Source organism: Homo sapiens, chromosome 19 (assembly GCF_000001405.40).
Source record: "Homo sapiens chromosome 19, GRCh38.p14 Primary Assembly".
Lineage (NCBI taxonomy): Eukaryota > Metazoa > Chordata > Mammalia > Primates > Hominidae > Homo > Homo sapiens.
The window spans coordinates 40,091,363-40,118,769 of record NC_000019.10 but is presented as its reverse complement, the minus strand read 5'-3'; the positions used below and the strand labels follow the sequence as shown (position 1 = coordinate 40,118,769).

The following is a 27,407-nucleotide window of genomic DNA, read 5'->3' as shown; positions in this document are numbered from 1 at the left end:
CCACCTCCCTCCCAGACGGGGCGGCTGGCCGGGCAGAGGGGCTCCTCACTTCCCAGTAGGGGCGGCCGGGCAGAGGCGCCCCTCACCTCCCGGACGGGGCGGCTGGCCGGGCGGGGGGGCTGACCCCCCCCACCTCCCTCCCGGACGGGGCGGCTGGCCGGGCGGGGGGCTGACACCCCCACCTCCCTCCCGGACGGGGCGGCTGGCCGGGCAGAGGGGCTCCTCACTTCCCAGTAGGGGCGGCTGGGCAGAGGCGCCCCTCACCTCCCGGACGGGGCGGCTGGCCGGGCGGAGGGCTGACCCCCCCACCTCCCTCCCGGACGGGGCGGCTGGCCAGGCGGGGGGCTTACCCCCCCACCTCCCTCCCGGACGGGGCGGCTGGCCGGGTGGGGGGGCTGACCCCCCCATCTCCCTCCCGGACGGGGTGGCTGGCCGGGCTGAGGGGCTCCTCACTTCCCAGTAGGGGTGGCCGGGCAGAGGCACCCCTCACCTCCCGGACGGGGCGGCTGGCCGGGCGGGGGGCTGACCCCCCCACCTCCCTCCCGGACGGCACGGCTGGCCAGGTGGGGGGCTGACCCCCCCACCTCCCTCCCGGATGGCACGGCTGGCCGGTCGGGGGGGCTGACCCCCCACCTCCCTCCCAGATGGGGCGGCTGGCCGGGCGGGGGGTTGACCCCCCCCACCTCCCTCCCGGACGGGGTGGCTGCCGGGCGGAGATGCTCCTCACTTCCCAGATGGGGTGGCTGCCGGGCGGAGAGGCTCCTCACTTCTCAGACGGGGCGGCTGCCGGGCGGAGGGGCTCCTCACTTCTCAGACGGGGTGGTTGCCAGGCAGAGGGTCTCCTCACTTCTCAGACGGGGCGGCCGGGCAGAGACGCTCCTCACCTCCCAGACGGGGTCTCGGCCGGGCAAAGGCACTCCTCACATCCCAGATGGGGCGGCGGGGCAGAGGCGCTCCCCACATCTCAGACGATGGGCGGCCAGGCAGAGACGCTCCTCACTTCCTAGATGTGATGGCGGCTGGGAAGAGGCGCTCCTCACTTCCTAGATGGGATGGCGGCCGGGCGGAGACGCTCCTCACTTTCCAGACTGGGCAGCCAGGCAGAGGGGCTCCTCACATCCCAGACGATGGGCGGCCAGGCAGAGACGCTCCTCACTTCCCAGACGGGGTGGCGGCCGGGCAGAGGCTGCAATCTCGGCACTTTGGGAGGCCAAGGCAGGCGGCTGGGAGGTGTAGGTTGTAGTGAGCCGAGATCACGCCACTGCACTCCAGCCTGGGCACCATTGAGCACTGAGTGAACGAGACTCCGTCTGCAATCCCGGCACCTCGGGAGGCTGAGGTTGGCGGGATCACTCGCGGTTAGGGGCTGGAGACCTGCCCGGCCAACACAGCGAAACCCCGTCTCCACCAAAACCAGTCAGGCGTGGCGGCGCGTGCCTGCAATGGCAGGCACTGGGCAGGCTGAGGCAGGAGAATCAGGCAGGGAGGTTGCAGTGAGCCGAGATGGCAGCAGTACAGTCCAGCTTCGGCTCCGCATGAGAGGGAGACCGTGGGGAGAGGGAGACAGAGGGAGAGGGCTGTTTTTTTTTTTAGAGATGGGGTCTAGCTATGTTGCCCAGGCTGGTCTCCAACTCTTGGCCTCAAACAGTCCTCCTGCCTCAGCCTCCCAAAGTGTTGGGATTACAGGCATCAGCCACTTTGCCCTCATAAAGGGTTGTTTGAGAAAGGTTAGTATGGGTAATGACTCACAAGTCTCTCACATGAGCAACTGGATTGGTCATGGTGGTGTTTATTGACACTGACAAACTGAAGAGGCTGTGGTTTGGGTGTAAAGGTAAGAGCACACTCTATTTAGCACATGTAGTTTGCTCTGTCTTTAAGGCACCTGCATCATACATGTGGCTAGTCATGTATCATATACACATATGTATGGGTAAAGCTCAGATGGAAGGTTTGCTTTGAGAAGGCTGTCAACAACATATATTAGTAAGAGAACTGTGAAAGTTGTCAGAATCGAAACGGAGTCACTAATGTTAAGAAAACTGACATATCATGGGCCAGGAATAGTGGCTCACACTTGTAATTCCAGCACTTTGGGAGGCCGAGGTGGGAGGATTGCTTGAGACCAGGAGTTCAAGATCAGCCTGGGCAACATAGTGAGACCCCCCCATCTCTACAAAACATAAAAAAAATAGCTGGGTGTGGTGGCAGGTGCCTGCAGTTTCAGCTACTTGGGAAGCTGAGGCAGGAGGATTGCTTGAGCCCAGGAGTTTGAGGCCGCAGTGAGCCATGATCACACCACTGTACTCCAACCTGGGTGGCAGAGTGAGATCCTGTCCCAAAAGAAGAAAAATGAAAACTCTGACAAATCAAGCATGGGGAGAACATGAAGAGAAGGTTTTCATGCTTGTATGCCTGATCACAAAAACTGTCACAAAAGACTACAAAAACCACAACTTTGCACAAAGTCCACCATAACCTTATACAAATAATACTTCTGCAAGGACATCTGCTCAACAATTCCCTGTCCAGTCTCAGACTTGTTATTGATCTTTGTAGCCAAGGATAATTATTTCAAAACAATTATGTAATCCTCCTCATTTTTTCATTTAAAAACCCTTGTCTTCCTTTATCTCCCTGAATTTGCACATATTTCACTATGGTATACAGATTCCCATTGCAATGCTCTATTGCTAAACAAATATCTTTTCTTTCAGAGAGACTCTTTCTGTTTGTTAAATAGGTTGACATATATGGTGTTTGAAACAGGACCTGAAAAAGTTCACTAGCAGAAGAAATGGTGACCAGGCATAGTGTCTCACACCTGTAATCCCAGCACTCTGGGAGGCTGAGGCGGGCAGATCACCTGAGGTTGGGAGGTCCAGACCAGCCTGGCCAACATGGTGAAACCCCGTCTATACTAAAAATACAAAAATTAGCCGGGTGTGGTGGCGAGCACCTGTAATCCCAGCTACTCGAGAGGTGGAGGCCGGAGAATCGCTTGAACCCGGGAGGCGGACATTGCAGTGAGGCGAGATCACGTAGCTGCACTCCAGCCTGGGTGACAGAATGAGACTCAGTCTCAATAAAAAGAAACAACAACAACAAAAACAACCAAAACAAAAAGAAGGAAATGGTGATACTTGGAACCAGTGAGCAGTATTTACTGAGTCACTTCCCTGGCTCACCTTTTCTGCCCTGGTGATGGGCAAATTACAAGTGATCCTCCCTCCTTCTGTTGGAGGCTTTTTGACTTTATTTGGGGTCTTGTTTGGATAAGGTCATTTTTATGAAAGACCATACATCCCTCCTGAAATAAGACTTTTTGTCTTTTCTGGTAAGTCCTTCCGGGTATAGAGACAAGTATCTTTCTGCATTGAATACTCTAGGTTTCTAAAGTATTTACATCCTGTCTGCGAGGTACATCTTCTCTGGTCTGTGCACCTTCTCTGGTTTAATATTTTGTTTGATCTGCACACCTGGGTTAAAATATTTGGAACATTCTTATCTTGGTTTCCTTCTATTTGGTTTGACTCTTTTTCCTTGCTTGTTTCTGAAAATCTTACAGGAGCAAAAGTAAATATTCTAAATGATGGATGCACGAGGGCTACTTTACAGCTACCAGGGCAGACACCACCATCTAAAACACTGGTCTAAACTCCTGAATTTGTCCGGGTGCGGTGGCTCAGGCCTATCATTCCAGCACTAGGAAGCCGAGGTGGGTGGATCACCTGAGGTCAGGAGTTCGGACTAGCCTGGGCAACATGGTGAAACCCCGTCTCTACTAAAAACACAAAAATTAGCTGGGCATGGTGGCGCAAGCCTGTAATCCCAACCACTCGGGAGGCTGAGGCTGGAGAATCACTTGAATCCAGGAGGTGGAGGTTGCAGTGAGCCAACATGGCGCTGTTGCACTCCAGCCTGGGCAACAGAGCAAGACTACATATCAAAAAAATAATAAAATAAAAAAATAATAATTTTTAAAAAACTTCTGAATTCCCTTACAGGACTTAGAAGATTTTCTTTGCTCCCAGGAGATGAATAAGAAACAAAATGGCATTCTCAAGACTATACTTTCAGGGATCATTTCTATAGTTTGTTACTAGAGAAGTTTCTCTGAACGTGTAGAGCACCGAGGCATGGGCAAGGACTTCATGTCCAAAACACCAAAAGCAATGGCAACAAAAGCCAAAATTGACAAATGGGATCTAATTAAACTAAAGAGCTTCTGCACAGCAAAAGAAACTACCATCAGAGTGAACAGGCAGCCTACAAAATGGGAGAAAATTTTCGCAACCTACTCATCTGACAAAGGGCTAATATCCAGAATCTACAATGAACTCAAACAAATTTACAAGAAAAAAACAAACAACCCCATCAAAAAATGGGCGAAGGACATGAACAGACACTTCTCAAAAGAAGACATTTGTACAGCCAAAAAACACATGAAAAAATGCTCATCATCATTGGCCATCAGAGAAATGCAAATCAAAACCACAATGAGATACCATCTCACACCAGTTAGAATGGCGATCATTAAAAAGTCCGGAAACAACAGGTGCTGGAGAGGATGTGGAGAAATAGGAACACTTTTACACTGTTGGTGGGACTGTAAACTAGTTCAACCATCGTGGAAGTCAGTGTGGCGATTCCTCAGGGATCTAGAACTAGAAATACCATTTGACCCAGCCATCCCATTACTGGGTATATACCCAAATGACTATAAATCATGCTGCTATAAAGACACATGCACACGTATGTTTATTGTGGCATTATTCACAATAGCAAAGACTTGGAACCAACCCAAATGTCCAACAATGATAGACTGGATTAAGAAAATGTGGCACATATACACCATGGAATACTATGCAGCCATAAAAAATGATGAGTTCATGTCCTTTGTAGGGACATGGATGAAATTGGAAATCATCATTCTCAGTAACCTATCGGAAGAACAAAAAACCAAACACCGCATATTCTCACTCATAGGTGGGAATTGAACAATGAGATGGCACATGGACACAGGATGGGGAATATCACACTCTGGGGACTGTGGTGGGGTGGGGGGAGGGGGGAGGGATAGCATTGGGAGATATACCTAATGCTAGATGATGAGTTAGTGGGTGCAGCGCACCAGCATGGCACATGTATACATATGTAACTAACCTGCACAATGTGTACATGTACCCTAAAACTTAAAGTATAAAAAAAAAAAGAAAGAAAGAAACAAAATGGCATTCTCAAACATGAATAAGGCATGCCAGATTTTCTGGGACCCACTATAGTTGGCACATATTATGGCCTGTTCTTGTGCACATTTTTACATTGATGGGCAAATTACAGCAAGGAAAATTCAGAGCTTAGATGGTCATTGTTAAAAAAAAATCTGCAACTATAGAGTTAACATGTAGAGTCTTCTAAGCTATCTCTCTAATTTTTTCTCTGCCTACTTGGAATCTGCTGACCTTTCTGCTGGTGTTGAGATAAAACTCACTGCTTATGGCATTCCAATCAAGATTTTTAAAAGAAGAAGTTTTAAAGGGCTTTTGAATTAATAGCTTTAAAATTACAACTCCGTGGTAACCAACAACCGAGACACCTTTTAGAAATACAAATTTAGGCTGGGTGTGATGGCTCATGCCTGTAATCTTAGCACTTTGGGAGGCCAAGGTGGGCAGATTGCTTGAGGCCAGGAGTTTGAGACCAGCCTGGCCAACATGGCAAAACCTGTCTCTACCAAAAATACAAAAATTAGCCAGTGTGGTGGCCCATGCCTGTAATCCCAGGTACTTGGGAAGCTGAGGCATGAGATTCACTTGAACTCGGAAGGCAGAGATTGCAGTGAGCAGAGATTGCATCACTGCACTCAAGCCTGGGTGACAGAGTGAGACTCTGTATCAAAAATAAATAAATAAATAAATTTGGAGTTGTCTGACTAACAATTGTGTATGATGATAAAACACTTATTTGAAAAATTAGTAATCTAAAAGAAAAAGGAATAGATAAATGTTTTTAAAGCTTAGGCTCTCAGATCAAACAAGATAGAAAGGAACCAATAAGTAGGAGAGAGGAATGTGAGAAAAGGTAGGAATATGAAGATGTATTTTTCGTAAGGGAGGTTAAAAAATAGAAGAATAATTTTGTATGAGAAAGAATCTTTTCATGGTAAATTTTTGTCCTAAAGTAAAATGACTGGTTATTTAAGAAAAAGGAAGTATAGGACAAAGTAGAAAGTCCAAGCATGTTGTCAATAGTCTAAATAAATTGTGATAAAGTTCATGAAAAGAAAATTTATTTGGCTGGGCATGGTGGCTCACACCTATAATCCCAGCACTTTGGGAGGCCAAGGCAGGTGGATCACCTGAGGTCAGGAGTTCGAGATCAGCCTGGCCAACATGACGAAACCCTGTCTCTACTAAAAAAATACAAAAATTAGCTGATTGTGGTGGTGAATGCCTGTAATTCCAGCTACTCAGGGGCCTGATTGAGGAGAATCGCTGGAACCCAGGAGACAGAGGTTTCAGTGAGCCAAGAGCACACCACTGCACTCCAGCCTGGGCAACAGAGTGAGACTGTGTCTCAATAGAAAAAAAAAAAGAATTTTGTGTGGGATCAACTTGGCTGTAATTTAGTCTTTCTAAAGACTGAAGTTTGATATTGATACAGTTTGGTTCTGTGTCCCCACCCAAATCTCATCTTGAATTGTTATCCCCATGTGTTGTGGAGGGACCTGGTTCATGGGGGTGGGTTTACCCCACGCTGTTCTCATGATAGTGAGTGAGTTCTCACACAATCTGATGGTTTAAAAGTGTGGCACTTTCTTTATCTCTCTCTCCTGCAGCCATGCAAGACGTGCCTTGCTTCCCCTTCACCTTCTGCCATGATTGTAAGTTTCCTGACACCTCCCTGGCTATGCAGAACTGTAAGTCAATTGAACCTTTTTTTTAAAAAAAAATAAATTACCCAGTCTCAAGTAGTTCTTTATAGCAGTGTGGAAATGGACTAATACAGATATTAAAAATGCTGGCTGGGCATGGTGGCTCATGCCTGTAATCCCAGCACTTTGGGAGGATCACTTGAGGTCAGGAGTTCGAGACCAGCCTAGCCAACATTGCGAAACCCTCCCTCTAGTAAAAATACAAAAATTAGCTGGGCATGGTAGTGGGTGCCTGTAGTCCCAGCTACTCAAGAGGCTGAGGCGGGAAAATTGCTTGAACCCAGGAGGTGGAGGTTGCAGTGAGCTGAGATGGCACCACTGCACTCTAGCTTGGATGACAGAGCAAGACTCTGTCTAAACAAAAAAAAAAAACAAAAAAAAAAGAAAGAAAAAAAGAAAAAAAAGCACTAATGCAAAACTAAAAAAATTTAGTCCTCTATGTTAGAATAAGTTTTTCTTAAAGTATTGATTTGCTCTATATAAAATTACAAGAGGTTCTGGTTTTTAATTCTGAAATCTGTTTAACAACCATCTTTCTATATTATTTCTATTTCTTCCTGAGATATAATTAACCTCCCTAATTTCAGGTTCGAAATGCTATCTTTTTCATTCAGAATGTGATTTTATTCTCAAGGTAAATTGTTTTCTTTTTGGAACTTCTCAGATTTATTTATGAGAAGTTCATCCTTCGCTGTATCTCACTGCATGTGATGTGATGGTCATACATCATTGCCTTCTGTTCTTTCTCCCCTTGAAATGGTATATCATTTTTGCTTGGCTGAGGTGATAACTTTCTCATTCAACCTTTTTTTTTAAATTGCTGTAACTTCCCTCACCCCCCACCCCCGGTTTTAATCCTACTGTTATGGCCCAATGCTGAAATGTTTATCTTGCAGGTCAAGAAAAGCAATGTTTTCTTCCAGTATAACTTGATTCTGTACTCTTGGCTTTTCTTGATGTGTCTGAATTGCTTCGTGTAACCGGGAAACTTCCCATGCTGTTACTAAGAGCTATGTTTTCCCCCCTGCTCAAGGTACTAGTTTTCTTATTTACATTCCTCTATAATATAGTGTTTACTCATAGCCTTGGACAAACTCTTCCTGTGTCTGATAAAATTCAAGTACCCTTTTCATTAGATTTGACTTCCAGCTTGCCTAAACATGCTTCCCATAAGGAAAAACAATTAGAATACAAGAAGTTTTTAATTTAGCTTTTTGTAACTGGTCTTAAACAAAACCCCAAAGATTTTACATTTTATCAAGACAATTCCTACGTTGTCTTTATTAGGTTTTTGATTACTTAGAAAAACTGAGCTTTGAAAGGGTTAAAGTTTTCATATCCATGAAATTTTCTGTATTGTTTTTGAAGCCTTTTGATTATCACTCTGGTTAAATGAATAACCATGATTTTACAGTGATGTGTGATTCTGTTTTGATAAATTGGGAGCCTTTATGGCTAGTCTAAGTTTTTGTTACTTACAGTAATTGTTTTGAATTCTTCTCTAAAAACATTTATAATCAGCCATGGTTCAAAATTGCTTTTCAAGAAAGCAACTCTAACACGTACCCTTGAACAGACTTTTTTTTTTTTTGGTGACAGGGTCTCACTCTGTCACCCAATTTGAGTGCAGTGCCATGATAATAGCTTACTACAGCTATGAACTCCTGTGATCAAGTAATCTACCCATCTCAGACTCCCGAGTGGCTGGGACTATAGGTGTCCACAGCTGTGGTTGGCTGGTTTTATTATTTTTATTTTTTTGTAGAGAGGGGGGTCTCACTATGTTGTCTAGGCTAGACTTGAACTCCTGGCCTCAAGTTATTCTCCTGCTGTGGCTTCCCAAAGTACTGGGATTACAGGTGTGAGCCACTGCACCAGGCTTGAACACAGATTTCTGACAGCTTTAAGATCAATGGATTAAATAAAAATTTCAAGAACTCTAATAAAGAAACTGATGGACTCATAAAACTATTAATTGGTCCCTCTCCCTCTCCCTCTCCCTCTCCCTCTGTCTCCCTCTCCCTCTCCCTCTCCCTCTCCCTCTCCCTCTCCCTCTCCCTCTCCCTCTCCCTCTCCGTCTCCCTCTCGCTCTCCGTCTCCCTCTCGCTCTCCGTCTCCCTCTCGCTCTCCCTCTCCCCACGGTCTCCCTCTCATGCGGAGCCGAAGCTGGACTGTACTGCTGCCATCTCGGCTCACTGCATCCTCCCTGCCTGATTCTCCTGCCTCAGTCTGCCGAGTGCCTGCGATTGCAGGCACGCGCCGCCACGCCTGACTGGTTTTGGTGGAGACAGGGTTTCGCTGTGTTGGCCGGGCCGGTCTCCAGCCCCTAACCGCGAGTGATCCGCCAACCTCGGCCTCCCGAGGTGCCGGGATTGCAGACGGAGTCTCGTTCACTCAGTGCTCAATGGTGCCCATGCTGGAGTGCAGTGGCGTGATCTCGGCTCACTACAACCTACACCTCCCAGCCGCCTGCCTTGGCCTCCCAAAGTGCCGAGATTGCAGCCTCTGCCCGGCCGCCACCCCGTCTGGGAAGTGAGGAGTGTCTCTGCCTGGCCGCCCATCGTCTGGGATGTGAGGAGCCCCTCTGCCTGGCTGCCCAGTCTGGAAAGTGAGGAGCGTCTCCGCCCGGCCGCCATCCCATCTAGGAAGTGAGGAGCACCTCTTCCCAGCCGCCATCACATCTAGGAAGTGAGGAGCGTCTCTGCCCGGCCGCCCATAGTCTGAGATGTGGGGAGCGCCTCTGCCCCGCCGCCCCATCTGGGATGTGAGGAGCGCCTCTGCCCGGCCGAGACCCCGTCTGGGAGGTGAGGAGCGTCTCTGCCCGGCCGCCCCGTCTGAGAAGTGAGGAGACCCTCTGCCTGGCAACCACCCCGTCTGAGAAGTGAGGAGCCCCTCCGCCCGGCAGCTGCCCCGTCTGAGAAGTGAGGAGCCTCTCCGCCCGGCAGCCACCCCATCTGGGAAGTGAGGAGCATCTCCGCCCAGCAGCCACCCCGTCCGGGAGGGAGGTGGGGGGGGGTCAGCCCCCCACCCGGCCAGCCACCCCATCCGGGAGGGAGGTGGGGGGTCAGCCCCCCCGCCCGGCCAGCTGTGCCATCCGGGAGGGAGGTGGGGGGGTCAGCCCCCCGCCCGGCCAGCCGCCCCGTCCGGGAGGTGAGGGGCGCCTCTGCCCGGCCGCCCCTACTGGGAAGTGAGGAGCCCCTCAGCCCGGCCAGCCACCCCGTCCGGGAGGGAGATGGGGGGGTCAGCCCCCCCACCCGGCCAGCCGCCCCGTCCGGGAGGGAGGTGGGGGGGTCAGCCCCCCGCCTGGCCAGCCGCCCCGTCCGGGAGGGAGGTGGGGGGGTCAGCCCTCCGCCCGGCCAGCCGCCCCGTCTGGGAGGTGAGGGGCGCCTCTGCCCGGCCGCCCCTACTGGGAAGTGAGGAGCCCCTCTGCCCGGCCAGCCGCCCCGTCCGGGAGGGAGGTGGGGGGGTCAGCCCCCCGCCCGGCCAGCCGCCCTGTCCGGGAGGGAGGTGGGGGGGTCAGCCCTCCGCCCGGCCAGCCGCCCCGTCTGGGAGGTGAGGGGCGCCTCTGCCCGGCCGCCCCTACTGGGAAGTGAGGAGCTCCTCTGCCCGGCCAGCCGCCCCGTCCGGGAGGGAGGTGGGGGGGTCGGCCCCCCGCCCGACCAGCCGCCCCATCCGGGAGGGAGGTGGGGGGGTCAGCCCCCCGCCCGGCCAGCCGCCCTGTCTGGGAGGGAGGTGGGGGTGTCAGCCCCACGCCCAGCCAGCCGCCTCGTCCGGGAGGGAGGTGGGGGGGTCAGCCCCCCGCCCGGCCAGCCGCCCCGTCCGGGAGGGAGGTGGGGGGGGTCAGCCCCCCTGCCCGGCCAGTGGCCCCGTCCGGGAGGTGAGGGGCGCCTCTGCCCGGCCACCCCTACTGGGAAGTGAGGAGCCCCTCTGCCCGGCCAGCCGCCCCGTCCGGGAGGGAGGTGGGGGTGTCAGCCCCCCGCCCGGCCAGCCGCCCCGTCCAGGAGGGAGGTGGGGGGGGTCAGCCCCCCCCGCCCGGCCAGCCGCCCCGTCCGGGAGGTGAGGGGCGCCTCTGCCCAGCCACCACCCCGTCTGGGAGGTGTGCCCAACAGCTCATTGAGAACGGGCCAGGATGACAATGGCGGCCTTGTGGAATAGAAAGGCGGGAAAGGCGGGGAAAAGATTGAGAAATCGGATGGTTGCCGTGTCTGTGTAGAAAGAAGTAGACATGGGAGACTTTTCATTTTGTTCTGCACTAAGAAAAATTCCTCTGTCTTGGGATCCTGTTGATCTGTGACCTTACCCCCAACCCTGTGCTCTCTGAAACATGTGCTGTGTCCACTCAGGGTTAAATGGATTAAGGGCGGTGCAAGATGTGCTTTGTTAAACAGATGCTTGAAGGCAGCATGCTCGTTAAGAGTCATCACCAATCCCTAATCTCAAGTAATCAGGGACACAAACACTGCGGAAGGCCGCAGGGTCCTCTGCCTAGGAAAACCAGAGACCTTTGTTCACTTGTTTATCTGCTGACCTTCCCTCCACTATTGTCCCATGACCCTGCCAAATCCCCCTCTGTGAGAAACACCCAAGAATTATCAATAAAAAAATAAATTAAAAAAAAAAAAAAAAAAAAAAAAAAAAACTATTAATTGGGATCAAGAACAACAAAAAATTAATTACATAAAATTAAGTAACTGATAAAGATAATGTTTTATAACTTTTATTTAAAACATCCTTTACTTAAATGTTTTGTTTCCCAGATTTAAGGACATTTTATTTCATAAGGTATAGTTTACAACAATTTGTAAATAAGTATATTGTACTTTTGTCAACAAACATGGAAGCATTTGCTTTTTCTCTCTACTTGATTTCTCCAAAATTCAGAAACCACTTGTGAGTATTCTTGTTTTCATTTACATAAGTTTAATAAAGACCTGCTTTCTTTATAACCAGATTGCAATTTGAAACATTGGCTCTATTACCAAGGTTTTTGACTGAAATGCCACATTTAAGAATGTACACTAGATGCCTAGCTTCAGGAGTTCCCAGTCTTACAATGAGTGATTAAAAATGGTCACTTCCTGGCAGGCCCAACAACCTTAAGATTCTTAGTAAAATCTAACATCTGCCTAGGTTTGGCTTCCTAATCTCAAAAGGTTTTTAAATCTGAGATGTTTTTTCTGCTTCCACTTCCTGGGTTCAAGTGATTCTCCTGCCTCAGCCTCCCAAGTAGCTGAGATTACAGGTGTGTGCCACCATGCCCAGCTAATTTTTTGTATTTTAGTAGAGACAGGGTTTCACCATGTTGGCCAGGCTGGTCTGGAATTCCTGACCTCCAGTGATCCACTCACCTTGGTCTCCCAAAGTGCTGAGATTACAGGCATCAGCCACCATGCCCTGCCAAATCTGAGATTTTTATATTATCAATGTAGAGGGAAAAACTTTGTTTCAAAGAAAAACTATAATACACCCATTATTAGATTAGACTGTAGCCCTGTGCATTAGTTTCAAGTTTTTGTCATCTACCTATAGACTAGACCCATTCATGAATTCTCCTAATTTTTTTCAATATTTGGCTACAACTCTCCAACTGAAAACAAAATCTGCTCTATTCCTAAAGCCCTATAAGCTGAAACTAGATGAATTTTCAGGAACAAGCCTCATGCCTGATGTATGGACCATACAAAAAGTTCACCAAACCACCCAATGTCATGCCCAGACATTCAAACTACCAGTCAGGAGGAGAAGTTGATGTTGTTATGTTGTAAACAGCTTTCCCCAAGGCTCCCCTTAATGTTACCGTTTTCACTTATCAGGATAATGGTGTAATTAGTCCACACTCACACTGCTATAAAGACATACCTGAGACTGGGTAATTTATAAAGAAGAGGTTTAATCAGCTCATGGTTCTGTGGGCTGTACAGGCTTCTGTTTCTGGGGAGGCCTCCGGAAACTTACAATCATGGTGGAAGGTGAAGGGGAAGCAGGCACATCTTCACATGGCTGGAGAGAGAGAGAGAGAGGGCGTAGGTGGGGAGGTGCTACACATTTTTCACGAGAACAGCAAGGGGGACAGGGGGAAGTCCGCCACCTCCCACCAGGCCCTTCCTCCAACACTGGGAATTACAATTTGACATGAGATTTGGGTGGGGACACAGAGCCAAACCATGTTATGGTGTAAATGAAATTTTACGTTCAACAGCTTCTGCTGGTAACTTAAGAAATCTTTTTTTTTTTTTTTTTTTTTTGAGACGGAGTCTCGTTCTGTCGCCCAGGCGGGAGTGCTGTGGCGCGATCTCCGCTCACTGCAAGCTCCGCCTTCCGGGTTCACGCCATTCTCCTGCCTCAGCCTCCCGAGTAGCTGGGACTACAGGTGCCCACCACTGCGCCCGGCTAATTTTTTGTATTTTTAGTAGAGACGGGGTTTCCCCGTGGTCTCGATCTCCTGACCTCGTGATCCGCCCGCCTCGGCCTCCCAAAGTGCTGGGATTACAGGCGTGAGCCACCGCGCCTGGCAGAAATCTTAACCTAAGAAATCCTTTAGCATCTATTGGTTAAATAAGAAAAGGTCTGTACTATTGCTAATACTATTACATGCTGTACCTGGATAGATTCCTCTGGGAAAGTTGAGACGCATATACACAAAATAAGAAAACAGGCCACATGGTTACAATAGGTCTCATCTAATTTTCTATGGTCACTTGATATATTCAATTAGTTGTCTTTAAGCCTAGGTTCATGTCTCAAGACCATTATGCAAACTGGGATTGTCATACTGCAGTTAGTTTTACTTTGTTTTTGTCCCTTTTAAAAACTTTGTATTTGTTACTTGTTAATTTTGCAGAATACAACTCCTAATAAAATAATGCTAGCCAAGCACTTTCAGATGATTACCAAAAAACTACAGAACAGACAAAATAGAATTTAGTAATGGATTCCACGTAGACTTGGCATAACAGCCACTCCTTTGAAATCTCCCTTGTTGTTTAAATGTGGCTCAAAGGGTTTTCACACTGATTCCTAGTCACCAATCACTTCCCTCAATGTGGGTCAAGACCAGCAACTGCAACAGGTTCATGTCAGCATTAAGGGACATAAAAATTTAACTACAGGATGATTGATCAGTGATGTTTTTGGAGAAAGATCTTGAATGAAAGAGGGAAATGTGAAAGTTTCCAGAATCAAAATGGAATCACTAATGTTAAACAAATCCTGACAAATAGAGTTGGATGAAGAGGGCTATGAAGAGGGGATTCTCAGCTTGTATGCCTGATAACAGAAAAGACTTTGCAAAACTCACAATCGAGCTGGGCAAGATGTCGTGCATCTACAGTCCCAGGTATTTGGGAGGTGAGGCATGAGGATCACTTGAGTTGTGTCTAAACAAAACAAAACAAAACCAAAACCTTGCACAAAGGCCGTTGTAATCTTACACAAAAGAATACTTCTGCAAGGACATCTGCCCAACAACTGCCTGTCCGACCTCAGACTGACATCACACTTGTTATTGCCCATGAGGTTGAGGCTGCAGTGAGCCATGATAGTGCCACTGCACTCCAGCCTGAGTGACAGTGTAACATCTTTTTTCAAAAGATAAAAAAAAAAAAAGATTTATGAAAGTTCCAGGCTATTATTTACCTAACCTTATGTCTTTTTTCCCATACATTTTATTTCAGTGCAACATTCACAAAGGAGAGAGTTCAAATCGTAAGTGTACAGACCTTCACATTTTCATAATTTGAATACTCTCCTGAAAACAAAATCCAGATTAAGAAACAGAGTAATACCAACATCCCAGGGTCTACTTTCATGCCATAATAAAGTCACTAATCCCAAAGGTTACCACTATCCAAATCTCTAAAACTGTAGATTAGTTTCATTGTGTTTGAGCTTTGTATAAATGGAATCACACAGTACATATACTCATTGTGCCTGACTTCTATGGCTCAACATTATGTCCTGAAACTCATACATACTATTGCATGTAGTTGAAATTTTTAGTTTCTTTCTTTTTATTTATTTATTTATTTATTTATTTATTTATTTATTTATTTATTTTGAGACAGAGCTTTGCTCTTTTGCCCAGCCTGGAGTGCAGTAGTGCAATCTCGGCTCACTTCAACCTCTGCCTCCCAGGTTCAAGTGATTCTCCTGTCTCAGACTCCCGAGTAACTGGGACTACAGGCATTCGCCATCACGCCCAGCTAATTTTGGTACTTTTAGTAGAGATGGGGTTTCGCTATGTTGGCCAGGCTGATCTCGAATTCCTAACCTTAGATGATCTGCCCGCCTCAGTCTTCCAAAGTGCTGGGATTACATGCATGAGCCACCATGCCCAGCCAGTTTTTATTTTCATATCACTGTATTTTTCCACTGTCATAACAGCACTGTTTTTGTGTATGTCTTTGGGACACTTAGGCACAACTTTTTTGAGAATACAGTTTTGTCTTTACTTCAGTTTTGTAATCTCTACTCTTTCCCATTGGTCTATTTGTCTAACTCTGTGCCATTGCTACATTATCTTAATTATAAAGGCTTTTAAATAAGCCCTCCAGCTCTGTTCTTTTCTTCAGTTTCTCTTCAATGAACTTTTCTTCATCTCTGATCTTTCCATTTCCATTTTGGAATCAGCCTATACATTTTCACAAACAATCCTGCTGGAATTTTCACTGGGGTTGCATTTAATGTATATATCTATTTGGAAGGATTGATATTTTTTAAAAATTGAGTATTTCAATCTTTTTTTTTTTTTTATTTGCCCAGGCTGGAGTGCAGTGGCACAATCTCAGCTCACTGCAACCTCCACCTCTTGGGTTCAAGCGATTCCTCAGCCTCCTGAGTAGCTGGGATTACAAGTGGCTGCCACCATGCCCATCTAACTTTTGTATTTTTAGTAGAGACATGGTTTCATCATGTTGGCCAGGTTGGTCTTGAACTCTTGACCTCAGGTGATCCGCCCACCTTAGCCTCCCAAAGCGCTGGGATTACAGGTGTGAGCCACAGCATCCAGCCAAATTGAGTATTTCAATCTATAAACAGTGTATCCCTTGCTGATTTAGGTCTTATTTAATTTTTTTCCAGGAACAATTTGTGTTTTGTTTTTGTTTTGAGACAAGGTCTTGCTGTGCTGCCCAGGCTAGAGTGCAGTGGCACGGCTCACTGCAATCTCGATCTCCCAGGCTACAGGTGTGTGCCATCATGCCTGGCTAATTTTTATAACATTTTTGGGGTTTGACCATGTTGCTGAGGCTGGTCTAGAATCTGGGCTCAAGTGATCCTCCCACCTCAGGCTCCCAAAGTCTTTTTTTTGAGACAGGGTCACACTCTGTCACCTAGGCTGGAGTACAGAGGCGTGATGATGGTTCACTGCAGCCTGACCTCCTGGGCCCAAGTGATCCTCCCAATTTAGCCTCCTGAGTAGCTGGGACTACAGGGGCACACCATCATGCCCAGCTAAATATTTTTTGTAGAGACATGGGTCTCACTATGTTACCCAAGCTGGTCTTGAATTCCTGCCCTCAAGCAAGCCTCCCTCCTCAGCCTCTCAAAGTTCTAGGGTTACAGGCATGAGCCACTGGGCTAGGCTAGTGTAGAAGTTTTCTACACCATTTATTAGATTTTTTTCTAGATACTTGATATTTTAAATGGCACCACTTTAAAATTTTCATTTTATATTTCTTTGTTGGTAGTATTTAGAAATTACATAGAAATAATATTTCTTTTTTGTATTTGTACTTTATATTTAAATCCAGTGACATTGCTAAATTATATAATACATTGCTGTAGATTCATTTTTATTTTCTATTTTTGCCATGATGTCATCTGTGAGGAACAACAGGTTGTCTATTTTCATTCCATTGATACGCCTTTTATTCATATGTTTTGCTTTAATGCATTGAATGGAGCCTCAAATAAAGTGGTGAGAATGGGTATCCTTGCTTAATTCTGATCTCAGAAGAAGAGCTTTCAATTTTTCACTATTAATTATAATAATTCATCATTAATTATGATTTGCTAAAGTTCTTTGTAAATCTTATGATTAAAATGAACTTTTAAATCATTTTTAAAAATCTTATGATTTGCTAAAGTGCTTTTTAAAGTTCTTTAGCAAATCATATTAGATGATATTTATAAAAATAGGGAAGCTTTTTTTGTTCTTAGTTTGCTGTGTTTTAAGTACTGACTTCTATCAAGTGGTTTTTCTGAGTCTACCAAGACGATTGTATTTTCTGTTAATATACTAGAATTATACTGATTGATTTTCAATGTTACGCTACCCTTGCATTTCTTAAATAAACCCTACTTGGTTGTGATATATTATACTTCTTATATTTTTCTTGATTTGCTATTATTTTGGTAAAGATTTTTGTACTTATGTTTATAAGATACAAATTGAAGTATCCTTGTCAGGTTTTAATATCAGAATGACTGGACTTTTAGAATGAGTTGGGAAATGTTTCCATTTTTTTCTATTCTCTGGATGAGTTTGTCTAAGGCTGATGATATTTCTTAAATGTTTAGAAGGATTCATTAGTGAAGCGATTTAGACTTGGAATTTTCTTTTGGGAGAATTAAAAAAATACTAGTCCTTTTTTTTAAATAGATTAAGGATAATTCAGAATTTCTATTTCTTCTTATGTCAATTTGTACAAGTTTTATTCCTCAAGAAAATTGGACATTTAACTAAATTGTCAAATGTCAAAAAGTTTTTATTGTTTTACCTTAATTCTCTTTTTTTAAAATTTTATTATTATTATACTTTAAGTTTTAGGGTACATGCGCACAATGTGCAGGTTTGTTACGTATGTATACGTGTGCCATGTTGGTGTGCTGCACCCATTAACTCGTCATTTAGCATTAGGTATATCTCCTAATGCTATCCCTCCCCCCTCCCCCCACCCCACAACAGTCCCCAATGTGTGATGTTCCCCTTCCTGTGTCCATGTGTTCTCATTATTCAATTCCCACCTATGAGTCAGAACATGCGGTGTTTGGTTTTTTGTCCTTGTGATAGTTTGCTGAGAATGATGGTTTCCAGTTTCATCCATGTCCCTACAAAGGACATGAACTCATCATTTTTTATGGCTGCATAGTATTCCATGGTGTATATGTGCCACATTTTCTTAATCCAGTCTATCGTTGTTGGACATTTGGGTTGGTTCCAAGTCCTTGCTATTGTGAATAGTGCCGCAATAAACATACATGTGCATGTGTCTTTATAGCAGCATGATGTATAATCCTTTGGGTATATACCCAGTAATGGGATGGCTGGATCAAATGGTATTTCTAGTTCTAGATCCCTGAGGAATCGCCACACTGACTTCCACAATGGTTGAACTAGTTTACAGTCCCACCAACAGTGTAAAAGTGTTCCTATTTCTCCACATCCTCTCCAGCACCTGTTGTTTCCTGACTTTTTAATGATCGCCATTCTAACTGGTGTGGGATGGTATCTCACTGTGGTTTTGATTTGCATTTCTCTGATGGCCAATGATGATGAGCATTTTTTCATGTGTTTTTTGGCTGCATAAATGTCTTCTTTTGAGAAGTGTCTGTTCATATCCTTTGCCCACTTTTTGATGGGGTTGTTTGTTTTTTTCTTGTAAATTTGTTTGAGTTCATTGTAGATTCTGGATATTAGCCCTTTGTCAGATGAGTAGGTTGCGAAAATTTTCTCCCATTTTGTAGGCTGCCTGTTCACTCTGATGGTAGTTTCTTTTGCTGTGCAGAAGCTCTTTAGTTTAATTAGATCCCATTTGTCAATTTTGGCTTTTGTTGCCATTGCTTTTGGTGTTTTAGACATGAAGTCCTTGCCCATGCTTATGTCCTGAATAGTATTGCCTAGGTTTTCTTCTAGGGTTTTTATGGTTTTAGGTCTAACATTTAAGTCTTTAATCCATCTTGAATTAATTTTTGTATAAGGTGTAAGGAAGGGATCCAGTTTCAGCTTTCTACATATGGCTAGCCAGTTTTCCCAGCACCATTTATTAAATAGGGAATCCTTTCCCCATTGCTTGTTTTTGTCAGGTTTGTCAAAGATCAGATGGTTGTAGATATGCGGCATTATTTCTGAGGGCTTATAATGTCTACAGAGTCTGTATTCAGACCTCATTTATCATTTCTGATATTAGTAATTCCTTCTATCCCTCCCTCTCTCCCTCCCTTTCTTCCTGCCTTCCTTTTCCTCTCTCCCTCTTACACTCCTCTCTCTCTCATACATTTTGCTAGAGGTTTTTAAATTATATATATATTTTAAAAGAACCAAATTCCGATATTGCATTATCTATTGTATATTTGTTTTATATTTTACTGACTTCTGCTTTTATATGTGGTACTTCCTTTTATACATTCTTTGGCTTGATTTGTTCTTTTACTAGCTGCTTGTGATGGGAGTATCAGGTATTAGGGCAGTGCTAAACTTATAAGGTGAGTTTTGAAGCATTCCTTTATCTTTAATTTTTTGGAAGAGTTTGAGAATAATTCATGTTAATTCTTTTTTAAATGTTTCATGGAATTCAGCTGTGAGGCCATCTGGTCCTGGGATTCCCTTTGTAGGGTTTTGATTCCTGATTTGATCTCCATACTTGTTATTAGTCTATTCAGGCTCTATTTCTTCATTATTCGGTCGTGGCAGATTATATGTTTCTAGAAATTTATCTATTTTTTCTGTTAGCCAGTTTGTTTGCATATAATTGTTCATAGTTGTCTCTTCTAATCCTTTTGTTTGTGGCATTTCTTGTAATGTCTACTCTTTTATTTGTGATTTTATTTTTTGAGTTTTCTCTCTTTTTTTTCCTTAGTCTAGCTAAAGATTTGTCAATTTTGACTTACAGAAAAGCCAACTCTTAATTTTATTAACCCTTTTTTGGTCATGAGTTCACTTATTTCTGCTCTGATCTTTAATGTTTCCTTCTTTATGCTAATTTTAGGTCCAGTTTTTTTTGTTTGTTTGTTTGTTTTTCTCTCCGTAGGCCTTGAGGTACATTGTTAGGTTATTTATTGGTGACATTTTTTTCTTTTTTTAAAATGTAAGCATTTATAGTATAAACTTCCCTCTTGTAAGCACTTTTGCTGCATCCAATAACTTCTGGTATGCTGTGTTTCCGTTTGTATTTCTCTCTCCCTTCCCCCACCCCTCTCTCTCTCTTTCTATATATATACGTATATATATATTTTGTTTGTTTGTTTTTGAGACAGCATCTTGCTCTGTCACCTAGGCTGGAGTGTAGTGGTGCAGTGGCATGATCTTGGCTCACTGCAGCATCCTCCTCCTGGGTTCAAGTGATTCTCGTGCCTCAGCCTCCCAAGTAGTTGGGACTAAAGGCATGCAACACCACGCCCGGCAAATTTTTGTATTTTTAGTAGAGATGAGGTTTCACCATGTTGGCCAGGCTAGTTTCAAACTCCTGGCCTCACGTGATCTAGCCACCTTGGCCTCCCAAACTGCTGGGATTACAGGCATGAGCCACCGTGCCTGGCCATCTCAATATATATTCTGATTTCCCTTTTGATTTCTTCTTTGACCCACTGGTTGTTCAGTAGTGTATGAGTTTCCACATATTTGTACATTTTCCAAATTTCTTTCTGTTATTTCTAGTTTTATTTCATTGTCGTCGGAAAAGATACTTGACATGATTTCAATCTTCTTGAATTTGTTTAGACTTGTTTTGTGACCTAACGTGTGACCTATTCCAAAGAATGTTCCATGTGCACTTGAGAAGAATGTGTATTCTGCTGCTGTTAGGTGAAATGTTCCATATATGTTTATTATGCCTAATTTGGTGTCTACTGTTGTTAAAGTCCCCTATTTTCTTATTGATTTTCTGTCTGTTTTATCTATCAATGGTTGAAAGTAGAGTATTGAAGTCCTCTACTATTATTGTATTGTTATCTCTTTCTCTTTTCAGTTCTCTTAACATTTGCTTCATATATTTGGGTGCTCCATTGTTGGGCACATATATATTTATAATTATTATATCTTCTTATTGAATTGACCCCTTTATAACTATACAATAATGTTTCTTTATGTCTTGTGACAGTTTTTTGACTTAAAGTTTATTTAGTCTCATATAGGCATAGCTGCCCTTGTTCTCTGTTTTTTTCAATTTTAATTAAAAAATTTTAATAGACATGGGTGTTGCTATGTTACCCAGGCTGACCTTGAACTCCTGAGCTCAAGCAATCCTCCCACATCAGACTCCTGAGTAGCTGGGACTACAGGAATATACCACTGCACCCATCAACCACTGGTGTCTTCTGGTTACCATTTGTATGAAATATCTTTTCCAATTCTTCAATTTCAGCCTATGTGTGTCCTTACAACTGAGTCTGTTGTAGGCAGAATATTATTGGATCTTGTTTTTTTTTATCCATTCAACCACTGTATGTGTTTTGATTGGCAAATTTAATCCATTTGCATTTAAAGTAATTATTCATTACTACTGCCATTTGTTAATTGTTTTCTATTTTGTAGTTCCTTTGTTCTATTTTTCTCCCTTGCTGTTTTCCTTTGTTATTTGATGATATTTTGTAGTGATATGCTTTGATTCCTTTCTCTTTGTCTTTTTTTGTATTTACTGTAGGTATTTTTCTTTGTAGTTACTATAAGGATTACCTAAAACATCTTATAATTGTAGTAGCCTATTTTAAGCTGATAACAATTTAACTTCAACTGCATACAAAAATTCTACACTCTTTGGCCAGTTGCAGTGGCTCACGCCTGTAATCCCAGCACTTTGGGAGGCCGAGGCGGGCAGATCACGAGGTCAGGAGATCGAGACCATCCTGGCTAATGCAGTGAAACCCCGTCTCTACTAAAAATATAAAAAATTGTCCGGGTGTGATGGTGGGCACCTGTGGTCCCAAGCTACTTGGGAGGCCGAGGCAGGAGAATGGCATGAACCCAGGAGGCAGAGCTTGCAGTGAGCCGAGATTGCACCACTGCACTGCAGCCTGGGCATCAGAGCGAGACTCTGTCTCAAAAAAAAAAAAAAATTCTACACTTTCTTCTCTCCTCATATTTTACATTATTGATGTCATAATTTGTACCTTTTTTATTTTTTTTGAGACAGAGTCTCACCCTATCACCCAGACTGGAGTGTAGTGGCATGATCTCAGCTCACTGCAACCTCTGTCTCCAGGGTTCAAGTGATTCTCCTGCCTTAGCCTCCTGAGTAGCTGGGACTACAGGCAAATGCCACCACACCCAATTAATTTTTGTATTTTTAGTAGAGAAGGGATTTTACCATGTTGGCCAGGCTTGTCTTGAACTCTTGACCTCAAGTGATCTGCCCAACTCGGCCTTCCAAAGTATAATTTGTATCTTGTATATATCATGTACCCATAGGCAAATTGTTGTAGTTATAGTCATTTTTAATCCTTTTAGCTTGTTTTGTTTTGTTTGGGACAGAGTCTCACTGTCACCCAGGCTAGGGTACACTGACATGAACATAGCTCACTGCAGCCTCAAACTCCTGGGCTCGAGTTATCCTCATGCCTCAGCCTCCTGAGTAGTTAGGACTACAGCTCTGCACCACCATGCCCAGCTAAATTTTTTTAAATTAAAAAATTTTGTTTGTTTTGTAGAATTAAGGTCTCACTATGTTGCCCATGCTGGTCTCAACTCCTGGCCTCAAGCAATTCTCCCACATTGGCCTCTCAAAGTTTTGGAATTGCAGGTGTGAGCCACTGCACCTGGCCTGTCTTTTAACTTTTAAATGACCTGTCTTCAAGCTCATTAATTCTTTATTCTGCTTAAGTCTGCTCTTCAGGCATTCTATGGAATTTTTCAGTCTGTTATTGTGTTCTTTAGTTCCAGAATTTTTGTTTGCAAAAATTTGCTATGTTTTCTATCTCTTTTTTGAACTTCTAATTTTGTTCCTATATCATTTTCCTGATTTTGTTTAGTGTTTATCTGTATTCTCTTGTTTGCTCACTGAGTTTCTTTAAAACAGTCATTTTGAATTCTTTGCCAGGCATTTTGTAAATGTTCATTTCTTTAGAGTTGGTTACTGATGGTTTATTTTGATTTGTGTTGGTGTCATGTTTTCTTAATTATTCATGATCTTTGTGAACTTGCTTTGGTGTTGAACATTTGAAGAAGTAGGCATCCCTTCTAGTCTTTACAGACTAGCTTTGGTAGTGAAAGCCCTTCATCAGAGATATTGGGTGGGCTGTATAGAGAAGTTTGTGGGTGGGATTACTGCTGAAGTTATCAGACATGCTGGTCTGGTGCCAGGGTCAACAAATGGATAGGCCTGAGGACTGTCCATGGGAACCAGCCTGAAGTCTGGGTCCACAGAGGTTGACCTGGTGCTGGGGTGGTCTGGACATAGGCCCATAATATGCCTTGGTCTTGAGCTCATAGGGGTCACCCTGCTTCCAGGATCCGCTTGGGCAGGCGTGGACCCTGGGTCCACTGGAGCATAGGGTCACAAGAACCAGCCTGGAGCTTGGGTCTGGTCTGGGGCATATTTGGGTCTGGATTCCACAGGGGTCAGTCTGAAGCTTGAGGCTGTGGGTGCTGTCCTAGGGATATGGAGGCCAGCCTGGAGCCTGTGTTTTTAGGTGTGGTTCTAAAGCTTTGGTCTCTAGGAGCTGGCCTGGCACTTGGGGTCTCCTGGGCCAGGTCTGGATATTGGATGCGGTGGAGTGGGTTTGAACCCTGGGTTTGTCAGAGTGTAGGACCATGGGAGCCAGCTTAGAGACTGGAGCCACAGGGGCTGGGTAGGCTGACAGCCTGTATCCATGGGGGTTATCCTGGAGCTTGGATCTGTGGGTGCCAGCTTTGTGCCTGGAGCTGAGGGTGCCACCTTGGAGTTTGGGTCAAGGGGGCCAGCTGGTCATTGGGTTTCAGTGGAGTAGTCCTGCTGCCAGGGTCCACAGCAAAGTTGGTGTTCACTTTATTCATCCTCTAACACGGAGGGTATCTCACCACACTATAATTTCTGGGCTGGGCTTGGGAGAGTGATGGACTAGGTAATGCAAAACGCTCCTTCTTAGCCTCTTTAATGTATCTTTTCCTGTTTCTGTGCTACAGCAAGGTGCTCTAATCTCTTACTTGGATACTTTAGCTCTTGTGAAAGTTTGTTCATGAGTAAACAGATGTTTAAATTGATGTGAGGGCTAAGTGCTGGAAAGTCCCATTCTCCAATCTTGCTGACATCACTCCTCTTAAGATTTTCTATTTCTTCTTGAATCAGTGACAGTTTGTGTAAAGAATTGTTCCTCATCACACACTGGGGCCTGTCGGGGGTGGGGGACTAGAGGAGGGATAGCATTAGGAGAAATACCTAATGTAGATGACAGGTTGATAGGTGCAGCAAACCACCATGGCACGTGTATACCTATGTAACAAACCTGCACATTCTGCACATGTATCCCAGAACTTAAAAGTATAATAATAAATAAATATTGCAAAAAAAGAATTGTTCCTTTCCATTTAGTTTATTTTGTTGGCATACAATTGTTTATAATATTCTTCTATAATCATTTTCATTTCTGTAAGGTTAGTAATGTCTCCACTTTCACCTCTGACTTTAGTAATTTGAGTCTTTTCTATTTTTTTCTCAGTCAATCCAGCTAAGATTTTGCTACTTCTTTTGATCTTTTCAAAGAACCACTTTTAATTTTGTAATTTTTCTGTATTATTTTTCTATTCTCTATTTAACTCCACTCTTATTTTTATTATTTCCTTCCTTTCTTGTCTTCTATTTATTTATTGTTTTGCTATTTTTCATGTTCTAATTCCTAAAGTTGTACAGTTAGGTTGTTGATTTGACATCTTTCTTCTTTTATATAGGCATGTAGAGCTATAAATTTTTCTCTTAGTAATAAGCATATCATAAACTTTGGTAACATGTGTTTTTATTTGTATTTATCTAAAATATTTTCTAAATTTTTGTATTCATTCTTTAATCCTTTGGTTGTTTAAGATTGTGTTGATTTGGCACAAGACAAAGATGTCTTCTCTTACCACTCCTATTCAACATAGAAATTCAACTGAATTTCAGTTATCAGAACTGGCCAACATGAAGACAATGGGATTTAGTCCTACAAATTAAGAAAGAAACTGAATGAATTAAGTCATGAAATATCAGATGGCATACAGGATTTAATTTTGAAATTCTTCAATTTTACTGAGGAATTTCTTCAGCTATGGGAATAGTCTTTTGATGATGCTCCAATTTTTAACTGGATCAATTTGCAATTTGTGTCAGAATGGAGCGCAGTTGAGAAGCCTTATGTTACTGCAGCATCTAAATTTGGCTTAACATTCAAAGGAATCATAAATAGAACCAATATGTTTGCCTTGTAAAGATAATTATCAAAGAAATGTACCCTTCTTAGGGTACAAAAAAGAGATGGCAAAAAAAGAGATGTACCTTGAAGGCAAGATACATTAACTACAAGAATATGAACTGCAATCTAATTTTTCCATATTCAATATTCACAATACTTGTGAGGATATCTTCCATTTCATTGGATATATTCTGAGACTTCTGGTTACCTTAGTATATACAGAGTATATATCTCAGTTTAAAAAGTATGGTGTTCAGAGAAGAGTCATTTGAAGGTAGCTATAATTTTGAGTTTATTAAACATAAAGTCCAACATTGAAGATTGCATAAAATTTTATCAAAATTTAAAAATAATAGACCACATTGAAAGAAAATACTTAAAAAGAATGGTGATATTGGTTAGGAAATCGATTAAAGTATCAGAATATACTTAAATATAATTATTCTCCGCTTTATTCTAATGTTTAGTCAACATAAATAGCTTAAAAATTTTTTTCCTTACTACAAAATTGTTATTTTGCTTTAACGTATATATGTTATTGTTTCACCCTTTAGGATATAACAGAATATTATAATTAATACAGGAATTTTTCAAACATTACATAATTTCAATTACCTTAGTATTCATACCTTTTCGAATTTGTACTACTTTGGACAATATATTATATATTCAGCTATTATTGAGTTCTAATTTAATTCCATTTTTGTCAAAGAATATGCTTTGTATGACTCGAATCCTCTTACATTTATTGAGACTTGTTTTATGGCCCAGAATATGGCCTATACTGGTAAGTATCCCCTGTCCACATAGATGAATTTTACTGTCATTGAGGAGAGTGTTCTCAAATATAAATGAGATCAAGTAAGTTGATATGTAGCTCAAATCTGCTATACCCTGTTGCTTTTCTGTGTTTGTTCTATCAATTACCAAGAGAGATATATTGAAATATCTGACTATAATTGTGGATCTGTCTCCTTTTCGATCTAATAGATTTTTCTTCCCATACTTAGAAGCTTTGCTTTTAGGAGCAAAATTTATGTTTGTTTTTTTCTACTCGATGAGCTATCTCCTTTATCATTATTATGCCCTTCTTTATCTCTGGTAATAGTCTATGTCCGGAGTCTACTTTGTTTTTAATAAAGCCACTCCAGCTTTCTTTTGACTAGTGTTAGGATGGTGTATATTTTTCCATCCTTTTACTCTTAACCTTTTAGTGCTTTTCATTTAACATATTACCTGTAGGTAGCACCCATTTGGGTCTGACTTTTTGTTTATTTATTTATTTAATTATCTTTTTTTATTATACTTTAAGTTCTAGGGTACATGTGCACAAAGTGCAGGTTTGTTACATATGTATACATGTGCCATGTTGGTGTGCTGCACCCATTAACTCGTCATTTACATTAGGTATATCTTCTAATGCTATCCCTTCCCCCTCCCCCGACCCCACTATAGGCCCCGGTGTGTGATGTTCTCCACCCTGTGTCCAAGTGTTCTCATTGTTCAATTCTCACCTATGACTGAGAACATTTGGTGTTTGGTTTTCTGTCCTTGCGATAGTTTGCTCAGAATGATGGTTTCCAGCTTCATCCATGTCCCTACAAACGACATGAACTCATCCTTTTTATGGCTGCATAGTATTCCATGGTGTATATGTGCCACATTTTCTTAATCCAGTCTATCATTGATGCACATTTGGGTCTGACTTTTTAAAAAATCCAATCTGACAATCTTTTTAAATTAAGGTGTTTAGACCATTTACATTTAATGTGATTATTGATATGGTTGAGTTAATCATCTTATTTGTTTTCTGTCACAATTCTGGAATGAAAAGACGTTTTGCTCTTTATTATTACATGTTTCCTCCTTATGTAGCATAGGAAACTAGAAAAATGATTTTGAAAGTTAAATATTGTTAGACTACAACAGTGAAATCAGGCTCTTCCTAGGAAAAGCAAGCCCTTTTTTGCATTTGTTTATACTATTTTAACAAAGTGTTAATTATTCATCCTTCAAGATAAGGCAAGTAATTATCTGTGTATTTTTATCCGTTTCCATGTCGTCCTGAATCACGTTTTTCTCTCCAGATAACAGGAACATTGTCTCGAAGAATCCAGGACATTTGATTCTGAAATCTCCAATGTGAACCACACTTCCTCTCCTAGTATATAAC

The 27,407-nt window shown here is 43.3% G+C and overlaps 1 pseudogene, besides 2 other annotated features; it reads left to right on the top strand.

The window, feature by feature from the left end:
* The first annotated feature begins 4,064 nt into the window (after window positions 1-4,064).
* LOC124904803 (uncharacterized) lies at window positions 4,065-4,161 on the top strand (annotated as a pseudogene).
* Window positions 11,027-11,591: an enhancer, noted in NCBI's record as "NANOG-H3K27ac hESC enhancer chr19:40613086-40613650 (GRCh37/hg19 assembly coordinates)". NCBI's record gives its function as "activates a minimal SCP1, AML or CMV promoter by ChIP-STARR-seq in primed H9 embryonic stem cells {active_cell/tissue: H9 hESC(primed)}" and the evidence as "EXISTENCE:reporter gene assay evidence [ECO:0000049][PMID:30033119]".
* Window positions 24,036-24,125: an enhancer, noted in NCBI's record as "active region_14638". NCBI's record gives its function as "activates an Ori minimal core promoter by ATAC-STARR-seq in GM12878 lymphoblastoid cells {active_cell/tissue: GM12878}" and the evidence as "EXISTENCE:reporter gene assay evidence [ECO:0000049][PMID:35858748]".